This window comes from Homo sapiens, chromosome 8, assembly GCF_000001405.40.
Source record: "Homo sapiens chromosome 8, GRCh38.p14 Primary Assembly".
NCBI lineage: Eukaryota > Metazoa > Chordata > Mammalia > Primates > Hominidae > Homo > Homo sapiens.
In genome coordinates, this window is record NC_000008.11 from 17,930,199 (window position 1) to 17,944,033 (window position 13,835).

Genomic DNA, 13,835 nt, shown 5'->3' on the forward strand with positions numbered 1-13,835 from the left:
GTTCACACCATTCTGCCTCAGCCTCCCGAGTAGCTGGGACTACAGGTGCCCGCCACCACGCCTGGCTAATTTTTTGTATTTTTAGTAGAGGTGACAGGGTTTCACCGTGTTAGCCAGGATGGTCTCGATCTCCTGACCTCGTGATCCGCCTGCCTTGGCCTCCCAAAATGCTGGGATTACAGGCGTGAGCCACTGCGCCTGACCGTTACTGGAATACTTTCTGTACTTGTAAGTACTAGTTTATATTAATGTGTTTACAGAATAAAATTTAGAAGGCAGAGATTCTGTATTTGTAATGGTGACATTTAGGTGGTTAAAGAGGTTGACATGAAGAGAAATAACATGCCATTACTCTTATGAGGGAGATACTTAGTATTTTTGGGAAATGTTGTGAATGTGGCCGGGTGCGGTGGCTCACGCCTGTAATCCCAGCACTTTGGGAGGCCGAGGCGGGCGGATCACGAGGTCAGGAGATGGAGACCATCCTGGCTAACATGGTGAAACCCTGTCTCTACTAAAGATACAACAAAAATTAGCCAGGCGTGGTGGCGGGTGCCTGTAGTCCCAGCTATTGGGGAGGCTGAGGCAGGAGAATGACGTGAACCTGGGAGGCGGAGCTTGTAGTGAGCCCAGATGGCGCCACTGCACTCCAGCCTGGGTGACAGAGCAAGACTCTGTCTCCAAAAAAAAAAAAGAATTCATCCATATGCAATTATTTCTTTAGCTTCATACTAATAGTTTTACTTTTTAAAGGCATACTAATGCTGTGCCTTTTAAACACATTTGGTGTCATCATTAAGTTACAAAGTATTCTACCCCCTATGGCAATCACAGTGTAACAGTGGATGAAATTGTTCATTTTGCCAACCTGATAGATTAGACTTTAGTAAATTTTGTTTTAAAAAATACTAAAAAAATCATCTGTTTTTCCCAAACTAATTAGAGTGTACAGTTTTAAAATTGTTTTAGAAACTTATTTTAGTAGTGTTCAAAGTCGTTAGCCAGAAATAGGTCTTTGGAACAAGCTCTGCATTTTAGGGGGAATTTATTGTGATAGGGAAATAGAATGCGTAAAACATTCTTTCTCCAGATATATTCTTTTTTTTTTTTGAGATGGAGTCTTGCTCTTGCCCAGGCTGGAGTGCAGTGGCGTGATCTCAGCACACTGCAACCTCTGCCTCCCGGGTTCAATTGATTCTTCTGCTTCAGCCTCCTGAGTAACTAGGACTACAGGCGTGTGCCACCATGGCTGGCTAGTTTTTGTATTTTTAGTAGAGATAGGATTTCGTTATGTTGGCCAGGCTGGTATTGAATTCCTGACCTTGTGGTAACGCCGACCTTGGCCCAGATATATTCTTAATACATTTATCTTACTTTACTATTACTTCATTATTCTATTAATAGAAAGTATTGCTAACATACTCTTTTAAGATAAAAATGATATGTAATAATTTTGACTTAAATATCTTAATTTTCCCTTCCAATTTACGTTTCAAAACAATTGCTTTTAGTACTTTTAAATATGGCATCACTTCTGTTGCCTGGCTGTTTTATTCTTCAGTATTACAAATTATGTCAGTATATGTAGAATACAGTAGTTGCAAAATGTTTTATTTAAATGAGTCATTTTGGTTCACTGGATATACTTCTATGGGTATTATTTTTTAAAGTTTTAAAATATATTTCTAGTATAAATAATTACGTAAACTGTTCCTGAAAATATGAGACAGAAAAAAAGAAGAAAAATCACCAGTGCCTACCCTGTAACCAATAATTGCTTTTGTGAAAGCACTTTAATAAAGTTTCTTAGCTTTTGTTTAAAAAAATTTATGTATAATTTTTCATACTGCTTTTTTACTTTTTTATATTACTTTTTCCATGATACACCGACAGGTTATATTGTCCAGGCTTCATAATTACATATTTTGAAGGGTACTTAGTATTCTACCCAGCAAGTGTAGTACAGTTTGCCTAATAGCATTGATTTTGTCATTTGACATTTAGTGTTGTTTTTTAATTTATCACAATTATAGCGTAATAAACAACTTCATTATAGTTCTTTCCACCATATTTAAGGTTGTTTTCTTAGATTGCATATAGAGAGGTAGAATTACTGCGTCAAAAATTCAGTTTTAGTTCTTGATACAGTATTGCCAAAATGCTTTCCAGAAATGTTATACTGGTTTATATTCTCAATGTAGTGTCTGAGAATTCCATTTTCCTTTTACTGTCATTAGGATTAGATAATATGTAATTTATATGAAAGTTAGCAAATTTAATAGTTTCTTATTTTAATTTGCAGCTGGACTTTATATATTCGTATTTTTTTTTGCAAACTACTTGTTTTGCTTATATTTCTCCGGTTTTATTTTTTTAAAACAAATTCTCTGTATAACAAAGGTATTAACTATACTTAGTATTTCTTTGAGATTTTTTTTTCTCCCAAGCTCTCATTTACTATTCTCAGCACACTTAGGAATTTACTTTTATGTGAATAAAATCTGTTGAACTTTTTATTTTTTATTTCTTTGTGTTCTAAATTTAGTAAGTTCTCTGTTTTTAAAAACCATTCAATTTTCTTGTCTTTTTAAAATCTTAATTGATGTTTAAAATTCTGTTTTAATCTTTGACTATTTTGATAGTATGATATAAGGCAGCCTTTCTCAGTTGGGAGAGAATTAAGCTCCAATACCCTAAGGCATCTGTTGTTTACTGTGAATTAACTTTTTTTCTGTGTGTCTGGGATGGATGGTACTGGATATGTACCATCCTTGGGAGAATTGAGAAAGTAGTGACTCAAACGATTTTTCCCCTCTTCTATGATTGAGGTGAAGAATACCACTTAAGGAAGACTGTTAAAGCTCTAAATGTATCTTTTTCAAATCTGTTAGCAAATTGTTGTATCAGTGCTCACTCCTACATCATAGAATTGTTGTGAGGCTTTAATGACATAATGGACGTGAAATATTTTAGCATGGTGTTTGGCATGTGGTAAGCAAAATAAAATGCGTTAGCTGTTACTAGTTTTTCTTACTACATTTTTCTGATTACATGTATTTGAGGGTTTTTGTTCCTGAGCTAGTACTGATTTAACCATATAGACAGCATTGTTGAAACCATATAGACAGCTAATTTGGATTAGCATTCTAACCTCCTGACCTCTGTTGCTATCCTTGCTTTTATTTTACAGATGGTAACTTTTTTTTCCGATATGTTTATTCTTCCAGATAAATTTTAGAATTATTTTGTCAAGTTCTAAGGAGAATCCCAGTGGGATCTTAACTGGAATTACATTAAGCCAATCTACATTTAGAAAAAGTGGTTGGTTGTAATATTTAGTATCCCATCATGGAAGATAGTTTTTCTACTTATTCACATTTTTTCTCCCATATTGTTTTATAGAGTTTAATAGTGCTTCTTGACATAGAGCCAAATTATTACTCCTAGTTATTTTATATATTTGTCACTATTATAAGTAGCATCGTTTAAGTGGTATTGGTGATATTTTGACGTTCTCTAGATTTTTAAAAAATACCTACTCTTTAAGAATACCACCTTTTCTCTTTTCAGTGGTAATATTTCTGTTTCATATTTGTCTGCTTGATAGAATTTCTGAAAGAATGCCAAGTAACTGATATGTAGCATTCTTATTTTGGTCTTTATTGGAGATGTCCTTCATGTCTTATTTTAAGCATAATGTTGACTGCTTGTTTATACTTACTTTCAACTCTTTAGAGAATTATTAAAGTAATATATGCTCATTAAAAAAAGAGTGAAATATAACAGGAAGGGTCAATGTATTTGTGATTTTTAAGATTTTTAAAATTAATACTTCGTTGAATTTTATCATTTTTATTTTGAGATAAAATTTAATTTGCTATATAATTTGTTAAAGTAATATGTTATTCTAATAGATATTCTAGCATCAAAACATCTGTGGGACAAATTCTACTTTTTCAGAGTTGATAATCCTTTTGATATTTTTTCTCTAGTGAATGGGATGAGTTAGGGTCTTAGAATTAAAGCAACTTGGATTTTTATCATTATTACTATTTATTTAATTTTTAATCTTTTTTTTTTTTGAGATGGTTTTTTGCTAGTCACCCAGGCTGGAGTGCAGTGGTGCAGTCTCGGCTCACTGCAACCTTGGCTTCCTCTGTTGAAGCCATACTCCTGCCTCAGCCTCCCGAGTAGCTGGGATTACAGGCACCTGCCACCACACCCGGCTAATTTTGTATTTTTAGTAGAGATGGGGTTTTACCATGTTGGCCAGGCTGGTCTTGAACTCCTGACCTCAAGTGATCCGCTTACCTCAGCTTCTCAAAGTGCTGGGATTACAGGCGTGAGCCACTGCACCCAGCCTATTAATATTTTTTTATTGCCATTTTTAGCTGAATGACCTTGGCCAAACTGTCTCTTTTGAATGTCAGTGCTTTTGTGTGTAGTTTAATGACTTTTCATGTCCCTTGAATTTTAGATAAAATTATCTCAACCTCTCCTCTTTCAGCTAGCACCCTTTCAACCTGTACAATTCCACAGCTAGTGGAAATCCAAAGTCTTCTGCAAGATTATGCAGAAATCTTACTTTCTGATGATCATCTCTGCCTTTGAACCTCTACTTCCACCATTGCTGCTGCTTTTTCTCATCTCTTTGACCCAGGTAGGAAATTCAGTCCCTTTCTTGATTTTCACATGTACAAGCAAAAACCCCATTTTTATGGGGAGGATTAGAGTTTGGTAGTCTTTACCAAGATTTAGAGAAAGCACTAATACAAATTAAACTAGGGTAGTAAGCATCACTATTCTTAAAATGTCTTCTAGCCACTGCACTTTTGGATGTTTTGGCCCTAGTCCTGCTTCTCTTTCCCTACCTTCTTATCATCTTGCTATTGTACCTTCCTGTTAAAACCAAAATTTTCTTCTTGTTTCTTGCAGAGCAGTTCTCCCGTCTTTGACTCTTTGGCATACAACTAATGCCTGTGTTTTCAGGGTATCATCTTCATCCCAAGTCCATTGTCAGAACAGAGATACTTTCTTTCCTGGGAGAAGTTCTGGGTCTAGCTGTTTATGACACTTTTCCTACTTTATTGTTCTACCCTTTGGAACTGTGTTGAATTAAGTAAGTAATCTTCAAGCATGCAGACTGGTGCTCACAAGGTATATTCAGGGGTTTTCCTTTCCTTCTCTGTCATTCCAACTACCTAGCTCATTTTAATCATAATATGCCTGTCACAGCTAAATCAATTTGTCTGTGATGTGGTTGACAGTGCCTCATTTTAGTTCATAAAAATCAGTGCTTCAAAGATTGTATTGCTAAACTTCATGGAATGATTTGAAAATTGAATTTGTTTTTATGTGTTATAAAGCTCAGTTCTTAACTTGTTTCGCAGAGAGTTAATTGTTAAATCCAGTATGGCCACAGGAGGAGGTCCCTTTGAAGATGGCATGAATGATCAGGATTTACCAAACTGGAGTAATGAGAATGTTGATGACAGGCTCAACAATATGGTATGATTCCTTACTCTTCATGGTGTGTTGTTGGCTATTAATGTTAAAATGCAGTTTTCCCCCTGACCAAATTTAACTCACTGATGCTCTTTGTATACACTTGCTGGCCAAGACATTAAGGGACCCTGGGCCGTTTATTATATTAATTGAAGACACAAATCAAATTGAGTTTTTAAGCCCCAAAGCAGATTTACTGTTACATAAAGATGTAAAAGTGTTTTTTTTATGGAAACCATGTTTAAGACATGCAGCTGGGTTTTAGGAAGGGATTTGGAGAAGGAATTGGGAAATTATCAAGAATTACGTTTTCACCACCCTAACTCTGCTTTTGAGTGCATCTGCCTAACACACCTTTCTCTTTACAGACCAGTTTTCTCTCCTCTGGTCCATGTGATATACTGTGGCTGTCCCATTGTTCTAAACCTTTTAGTTATGGGTGCAGTTATGTACTGACTAGTTACCTCTTAGTTCCAATTTGAAATTTTGTAGTATGATTATCCTAATTTGGATTAGATATGTGTTTCTTTTTTCAGTCTTCTGTGGCGAGGGTGGGGTGAGGTGTAAGTAGTGTAACAGGTTGGCAGGAATATTCACTCATAGATTGGGTGGAAGGACAGTTCATAAAGAAGGGGGTTTTGTTAAAATAAGGAAAATATCCCAAGTGGTTTACTATACTAGTACTAAAAGAATTTTCCAGTTGGATAAAGTGGGAATTTACAGACCTTTTTGTTAATGAATTAGGTTATGTGAGTTTAACTAAGTAAATAAAAATGTTTTCTATTTGAAACTATAAGCACTTTTTGTAATTCCATATTAGCTGTTACCATGTACATTTTTACCTATAAAAATAATAGCTGTCTTTATTGCTTACTAAATGCTAGGTACTAATTAGTTTTAATCCTATTTTGAAGGTGACACTATTTTAGAGATTAGGAAACTGAGACTATAGGAAGCAAAATAAATAGCCTAGGGTCACACAGTGGAGTGTTTTTTCAGAAAACAGTAATTAGGTTTAGAACCTAGGTTGATTTGATTTCAGATCTCTTTTTGATACGTACTGACTTTATAGGAGATCGGTAAAGGTATCTGTAATTTATTTCACTATTTATAATAGAAAATCACAATGTAAAAAAATCCTCTTGGAAATATTCAGATTGATTTTAGGGTTGGCATTTGAGGATTTGTATTTGTTAGTGATCTTGATAAGAAAATAATCTCTTTTCAGAAGGATGGGCTATAAAATTAAGGTAGATGTAATGAGGGGAAAATGGGTTAATAGAAGTAAATATTTGTCTCTAGGAGTATAAGTCTGTCAAAAATGTCTTGTCTTTTTTAATTTTAAAACTGACCAAAACTTTTTAATTATACCAATCTATTTTCCTGGTTTGATACAGGCCATGTTAATTTTTGCTTTTACTTTTTTAAAGGATTGGGGTGCCCAACAGAAGAAAGCAAATAGATCATCAGAAAAGAATAAGAAAAAGTTTGGTGTAGAAAGTGATAAAAGAGTAACCAATGATATTTCTCCGGAGTCGTCACCAGGAGTTGGAAGGCGAAGAACAAAGACTCCACATACGTTCCCACACAGTAGATACATGAGTCAGATGTCTGTCCCAGAGCAGGCAGAATTAGAGAAACTGAAACAGCGGATAAACTTCAGTGATTTAGATCAGGTTTGTGAATTATTTTTAAAAATGAAGCTATTACTGTGAGAAATACTTGAAATGGATTAAATAATTTGTCTTAGGAATAAAAAATTGAGCTGTTTATGTAATTTTTAAAAAAAGTTTCTGTGCCTATGGAAAGAATTTTAATCACTGGGGATGGTCCTGTCTTCTTTAGAAGGAAATGAAGTCCCATTTCTAAACTTGCTAAAGACATGCATTTCTGGACTTTATACTATGTTATATGACTAACTCAAGTGATTTTACTATACAACTAAATTTTGCATTTTGGTAACTGAATAAAATGGTATTAAGTAATGGAAAGTTCCAGTTTAGTATATATATCATTGGCTAAGTGTGGGATGTGCTGGGTTACCTCAAGTTTAGAATGAAACTATTTTCTGTTTATAATCACCAAAATAAAGTTTAGATCTAAAAACAAGTAGAAATGATAATAAATTCTTGAGAGATATTTTACTCTTAGATCTATATGTCATAGAGACACACACATTTCCAAAAATGTAGAAAGGTAGATTCAAGTCTGATAATGATGTTGGTAATGATCATGTATCATTTATTTATATCTATTTATCAATTATTGAACACTTAACTGTATATCAGGCACTGAGCTGAATACTTTTTCAGACAGTTCTTCATGTAGACACAACTTTAATTACATTGATTCATTGGGTCCAAAGCGTATAAAAATACTATAAGCAAGTAATAAAAAGCAATATGAGTTAAAGTGTGATCCATGGTCCTAGGACACGTTGAGCATCCCTAATACGAAAATCCGAAATGCTCCAAAATCCAAAACTTTTTAAGTGCCAACATGAGTGGAAAATTTAACACCTGACCTTGTGTGATGGTCTGCAGTGAAAACGCGTCAAAACTTTGTTTCGTGCACAAAATTATTAAAAATATTGTATAAGATTACCTTCAGATTATGTGTATAAGGTGCACATGAAACATAAATGAATTTTATGTTTAGACTCCGGTCTCTTTCCTAAGATATATCTCATGTTTATGCATATATTCCAAAATTTGAAAAAAAATGAAACTCCTAACACTTCTTGTCTGAAATATTTTGGATAAGGGGTACTCAAGCTGTACTTCATTTAGACTTACCTTGTTCATATTCGTCAGTTGAATTGTCTCAGCAAAGTGAAGTCTAGAAAATGCTAATCAAATTTTCATATTGTAGTGAAAGACTGTTACAGAGCCAAAGCTCTTTCAGGTCTTAGTGCAAAGCTCTTTGTGTGCACCTTCTGAATCAATATCTGATGGCGAAACTAAGAACATTGGGGTTAAAACAAAATTTTGTCATAAGGTTAATGTTTGTGTGATTTGATTTCTTTTTCATATATAGAGAAGCATTGGAAGTGATTCCCAAGGTAGAGCAACAGCTGCTAACAACAAACGTCAGCTTAGTGAAAACCGAAAGCCCTTCAACTTTTTGCCTATGCAGATTAATACTAACAAGAGCAAAGATGCATCTACAAACCCCCCAAACAGAGAAACGATTGGATCAGCACAGTGTAAAGAGTTGTTTGCTTCTGCTTTAAGTAATGACCTCTTGCAAAACTGTCAGGTGTCTGAAGAAGATGGGAGGGGAGAACCTGCAATGGAGAGCAGCCAGGTGATAACGTTTGTTTCTTTTGCTCATTCTTTACACAAACCTCAAAATACCAACAGTAAGGTTTAGAAAATTAGGTTACGCACACAGGAATTTTAGTTGGGTGGAATTAAAGTGCTTCACTGACCTCCTTTGTTAATCTGCCAGATTTACTTAAAATAGAGTAAATTTCTGTTTATCCAAAAATATTTTAGAAATGGCATATTCAGGTTAGTTAAAGGCTTCTGTTTATTTACAAAATAGCATATTGCCAGTTTTTAGTAAAGGGGGATTGGAAGGAAAGTGATTAATAGATTTTTGTAGGAATTTTTTAAAATGGCAAATATTCTTTTGAAAAGTTGTAAAACTATAATACATTTAATTAATTTATAAACATTAGGAAAATTTATATAAAAAATTGTATGCAGTTGTAGAAGTAAAATTTTTCAGATACTGTAGATTAAAATTTTGAAATGTATTTTTGAATTGACAGTGATTGGAGTTTTTAGTATTACCAATTATGTCTTGATTAAAATCTAAGCTGGATTCAGATTTTTTGCATGTGTTAATTCACACAATAATCCAAGTGTCTTTGGTTATCTTCGAAATAAAAATTTGTAAAACTGTTGCTATTGAACTAATTATCCTTAGTTTTATATATTGTGTACTTTCATGCTTTTTTTAAAAAAAATATTTCCCCTGCAGATTGTAAGCAGGCTTGTTCAAATTCGCGATTATATTACTAAAGCTAGTTCCATGCGGGAAGATCTTGTAGAGAAAAATGAGAGATCTGCTAATGTTGAGCGCCTTACTCATCTAATAGATCACCTTAAAGAACAAGAGAAGTCATATATGAAATTTCTTAAAAAAATCCTTGTAAGTATTCGACTTTTAAAATAACATATTATTTTTGTAGTATCTCAGTGTGTATTTACTGATGACATTCTGATGCCACCCCAGAGGAGTTAACATATTTTCAAAAAATCATGCCATCCATTATAACAATTTATTGCCCATTTTAATAGTTGTATGATTTATACCGCTAAAATATTTCAGGCTAGAGAAAATGAGGAGGAGGATGTTCGGACTATAGATTCAGCTGTGGGATCTGGTTCTGTAGCTGAGAGCACATCGCTAAACATAGATGTGCAGTCTGAGGCTTCAGATACCACGGTAAGCGGCTTTTTGGTAATTAAAGTGCTGGAAATGAAGGTTTAAATTTTTCTCCCAGTTTTCAAGATGTTATTTTTATAGGCGTTCCTTAATGAAAAGTGTATTCCAGGGAAGAACCCCTCAAATTGTTAATGCTGTATGTGTTCTTCTGTATTTAAACACGGAAGTTAAGTTTTATTTATTAACACTAAAAATAGTTTTAATGGTTAATTTGAAAATGTAATTTTTGATCTTCAGTTTATAGAAACATTGTTTTTGTAGTTTGTTTTGTTAAGCAAAGCTTCACTAATTTTAAGAAGCATCGAGGAAGTTAAAATGGATGGTGGAATTAAGGGCAATAGGCAACATTAGTGATTACTTAGCATGTAGTCTTTTGGAAATAACCAAGTTCATTTGTCACTGAGGACACGTTAAGGATATTAGAATTTTTCATTTTTTGGGCTCTATCCTAGTACTGGAGCAAAACCAGATGACTGAAAAATCGAGAGAAAGACTAGTAAATGGGACAGGATAGCATTTACATTGTGACTTATTCACAATGAGAAAAATGCTGTAATTGCTGACTTGGCAAAATGGAATTTGTTGAAGTACTGTTTTTCTGAAGAATAGTAATTTACAGAACTTTGAGGAAAGATTTCTAAAACTTAGTGTGGTTCAATGCTAGGGTGTTTTTAGGCATTTTAAACAGGCGTGCCTATAACCATGCATTATTAAGCTTTTAACACCTATTACAGGCTAGTAAAGCTTTTGTTTTGAGAGGATAAGCATATATCTCTTCGGGTTTTGAGGTGTTCAAAATGCCATTCAGCATTAGGAATTTGAAGGTTTGTTTCCTATTAGTATTGACCTGCATAATTCTTACCTGCCTCCTTTCTCTTCCCGGACCTTCCTAATTTGAAGAGGTGATTTGGATTTCTTTTCTCTACATTATTTTCAACAGGAGATACTTAGAGAGCCTGATCCAAACAGTTGTTGAAGAATGGATTTTACTGTGGGGAAATTCTTTTTCTATTTACAGTGGTGCGAGGCATAATTTCTTCCTTAGGTTCCAGCAGAAATGGAAGGGTTAGGACGATGTGGGTAAAGGAATTCTGTTGGGGAGGAGTGGGAACTTGTATAGATTTATTGTAATTTATATAAAGTATTCATTGTGATGGCAATTTCTTTCATAATATAAAATGACGGTATGAAAGTTGACTAATAACATGTAGCAGAGTAAATGTTAAAAATGTGCTTTAACAACTGTGTGGTATGGTAATTCCGCAGGATGTGGTACTTGCTTAGTTACAGTAAGCAACAGTCTAGTCTACAGAAAACTTAAAAGACTAAATATACTGCTGCTTGGAGGGGGATGTGGATTGATTTTTGTTTTTTTTTTTTTTTAAAAAAAAGGTGGACTGGTACTTTTTAAATTGTTTTACAAGGCTGGCTTATATGTTAAACAGGAGTTTGTGTTAAGAATTTAATATGCTACACTATTTAATAAAGGAGGAGGCATCTTTTAGTCTGAGAATTCGGCCGTGCATTGAGGACAAACTAGGGAATTCAGCTTCACAAGAACAGGTTTCAGACATTGACGTTACTACAAGTCCAAAAGGGAAAGGTGACAGACCTCAGAATGACAGGGAACTGAGGCCTAATAGGAAATATAGCCAAAAACGTGGATTTCCCTCAAAGGTATACTTTACAATATTAACTTGGGAAGTCTCTAAATGAGCACTTCTTCTGTTCATATTTCCTCTTCTTTATTTGCTTTTCTGTTGTTGCTATTACTCTTACATATTAATTGTTAATATAGTTGTCATACTGTAATTTGCTTTAGTAAAATTCTGTCCCTTACTGTTTTTTTTCTACTTTGTTATATACCTCTCCATGGATTATAGCTTACAGCTGTTTTTAATTTATATTAACAAAGGTTTTGAAATGTAATTTATTCCCTTTTTTATAAATTGCGAGTATAATTTATAACACGTTCTTAAACCTTGACCATCAGTCAGTTGCCCTTTGTTTCTGATATTTGTGTTTATTAATTTAGATGGGGCCAGGCGTGGTAATTCTAGCACTTTGGAAGACTGAGGTGGGCGGATCACCTGAGGTCAGGGGTTTGGGACCATCCTGGCCAACATGGCGAAACCCTGTCTCTACTAAAAATACAAAAATTAGCTGGGCACGGTGGCGCACGCCTGTAATCCCAGCTACTCAGGAGGCTGAGGCAGGAGAATCGCTTCAACCTAGGAGGTGTAGGTTGCCGTGAGCCACTGCACTCCAGCATGGGTGACAGAGTGAGACTGCGTCTCAAAAAAAAAATAATGAAATAAAAATAAATAAATTTAGATGGTAGTTTGTCAGATTTTTTGGTTTATATTTTTATTTTTGGAAACCCCTTTCATTTGCTTTTTTTAGAAAAATTATCCAGTTGACTTGGTTGCCTCTTTTTTTGCTGGTTTTTTCTGCAGTGTTTAATTGGTTTTTTAATTTTCCATGATTTGCATAATGGCATTCCAGATAGAGTTAAAGACAACTATTTGTAGTTCCACATAAAAAGAGTTTGAATAGGCCGGGCACGGTGGCTCACGCCTGTAATCCCAGCACTTTGGGAGGCCGAGGCAGGCGGATCACGAGGTCAGGAGATCGAGACCAGTCTGGCCAACATAGTGAAACCCTGTCTTTACTAAAAATACACGAAAAATTAGCCAGGTGTGGTAGTATGCACCTGTAATCTCAGCTACTCAGGAGGCTGAGGCAGGAGAATTGCTTGAACCCTGGAGGCGGAGGTTGCAGCGAGCCGAGATCCTGCCACTGTACTCCAGCTTGGGTGACAGAACGAGACTCTGTCTCAAAAAAAAAAAAAAAAGAGTTTGAATAAAAATACCATTTATAAAAGTGCATGTATCTGTTGGCAGGAGCAAAGTACTATTTTAGTAATTGAGTATAGGTAAGACTAATTTCATATGTTTTATTACTGGTTTATTACCTAGGACTACACTTTCCCATTTTGTGGCTATTTTATGGGTTTGTTGTATTTTTTTTTTTTTTTTGGTGTGTGTGGCTATTTACAAATGGTAAAACTTCACCTCTAGTATTTTGGCAGTTTTTTTATTTTTTCTGGTTCCTACAAGAATTTGAGAGCACAGTTTGAAATTAGTTATGGGAATCTTATTATATCAAATATCAAGTAAAATGTGCCCCAGTTCACCAGTAGAGTGAATAAAGTAGCTGATTATTTTAAAAACTAGTGGCATTGGAGAAGAGCAAATAAACATGAAGCATAATAGGTAACCATTGGAATTTTATTCTCTTTAATCCTTCTGAATAGTGACAAGCGAAATTTAAGAGTTAACAGTTAATGCAGTATCTGCCAGTTCTTTTTTTCTTAAGGCATTACATATAATTTAAAAACCACTTTGCTGTTTTTAGGTTTCTTTGAATAATATCCTTATAAGTGATTATTATTCTTTTTTGAATTCTCTTCTTGGCATTTATTTCATTTTGACTTTCTTGATTCTTAAGGCTGTCTCGTTGTTCTGTTAGTATTCTATTTGTAAAAACATTTTAATTTCTTCAGGGGAAAAAATCTTAATTCTCACCACCTGTGTTTATTTTTTTCTCTACTCTGCAGGAACTGTCATTCTTACCACCCCACCCCTGTTTCCTCCTTAGAATCTTTTCAAAATGTAGTATTCTGTTAGAATAGTGGAAAACACAGTTGAGGGTCTTACATGCGATTCAAGGTTGAAAGCAACCTTGAGACTTAACGCATGATATGAAATGATTGATATTCTAGAGCTGCCTACCAAGGGCACATTCCACTTTATGAAATATTTTAAGACATGATGACATCTTGTATAAGATGTCAGAAGAAGGCAAAAGAAAGC

The 13,835-nt window shown here is 34.5% G+C and overlaps 1 protein-coding gene across 33 annotated transcripts in view; it reads left to right on the forward strand.

Moving 5' to 3' along the window:
- Positions 1-13,835, forward strand: part of PCM1 (pericentriolar material 1) — a 106,961-nt gene that overhangs the window by 7,211 nt on the left and 85,915 nt on the right. For 15 of the 33 annotated variants that reach the window (NR_148032.2, NM_001352640.2, NM_001315508.2 and 12 more), the window contains 4 exons: positions 5,391-5,508; positions 6,936-7,181; positions 8,542-8,811; positions 9,493-9,663. Coding sequence is in view for 32 of the 33 variants with exons in the window: in NM_001352640.2 (NP_001339569.2) it covers positions 5,413-5,508; positions 6,936-7,181; positions 8,542-8,811; positions 9,493-9,663 (783 nt within the window). In the remaining variant the exon portion in view is untranslated. Of the gene's footprint in view, positions 1-4,507; positions 4,661-4,935; positions 5,120-5,390; positions 5,509-6,935; positions 7,182-8,541; positions 8,812-9,492; positions 9,664-9,843; positions 9,961-13,835 lie in introns of all 33 variants that reach the window. The other 18 variants (NM_001352635.2, NM_001352648.2, NM_001352653.2 and 15 more) reach the window with 4 other exon arrangements.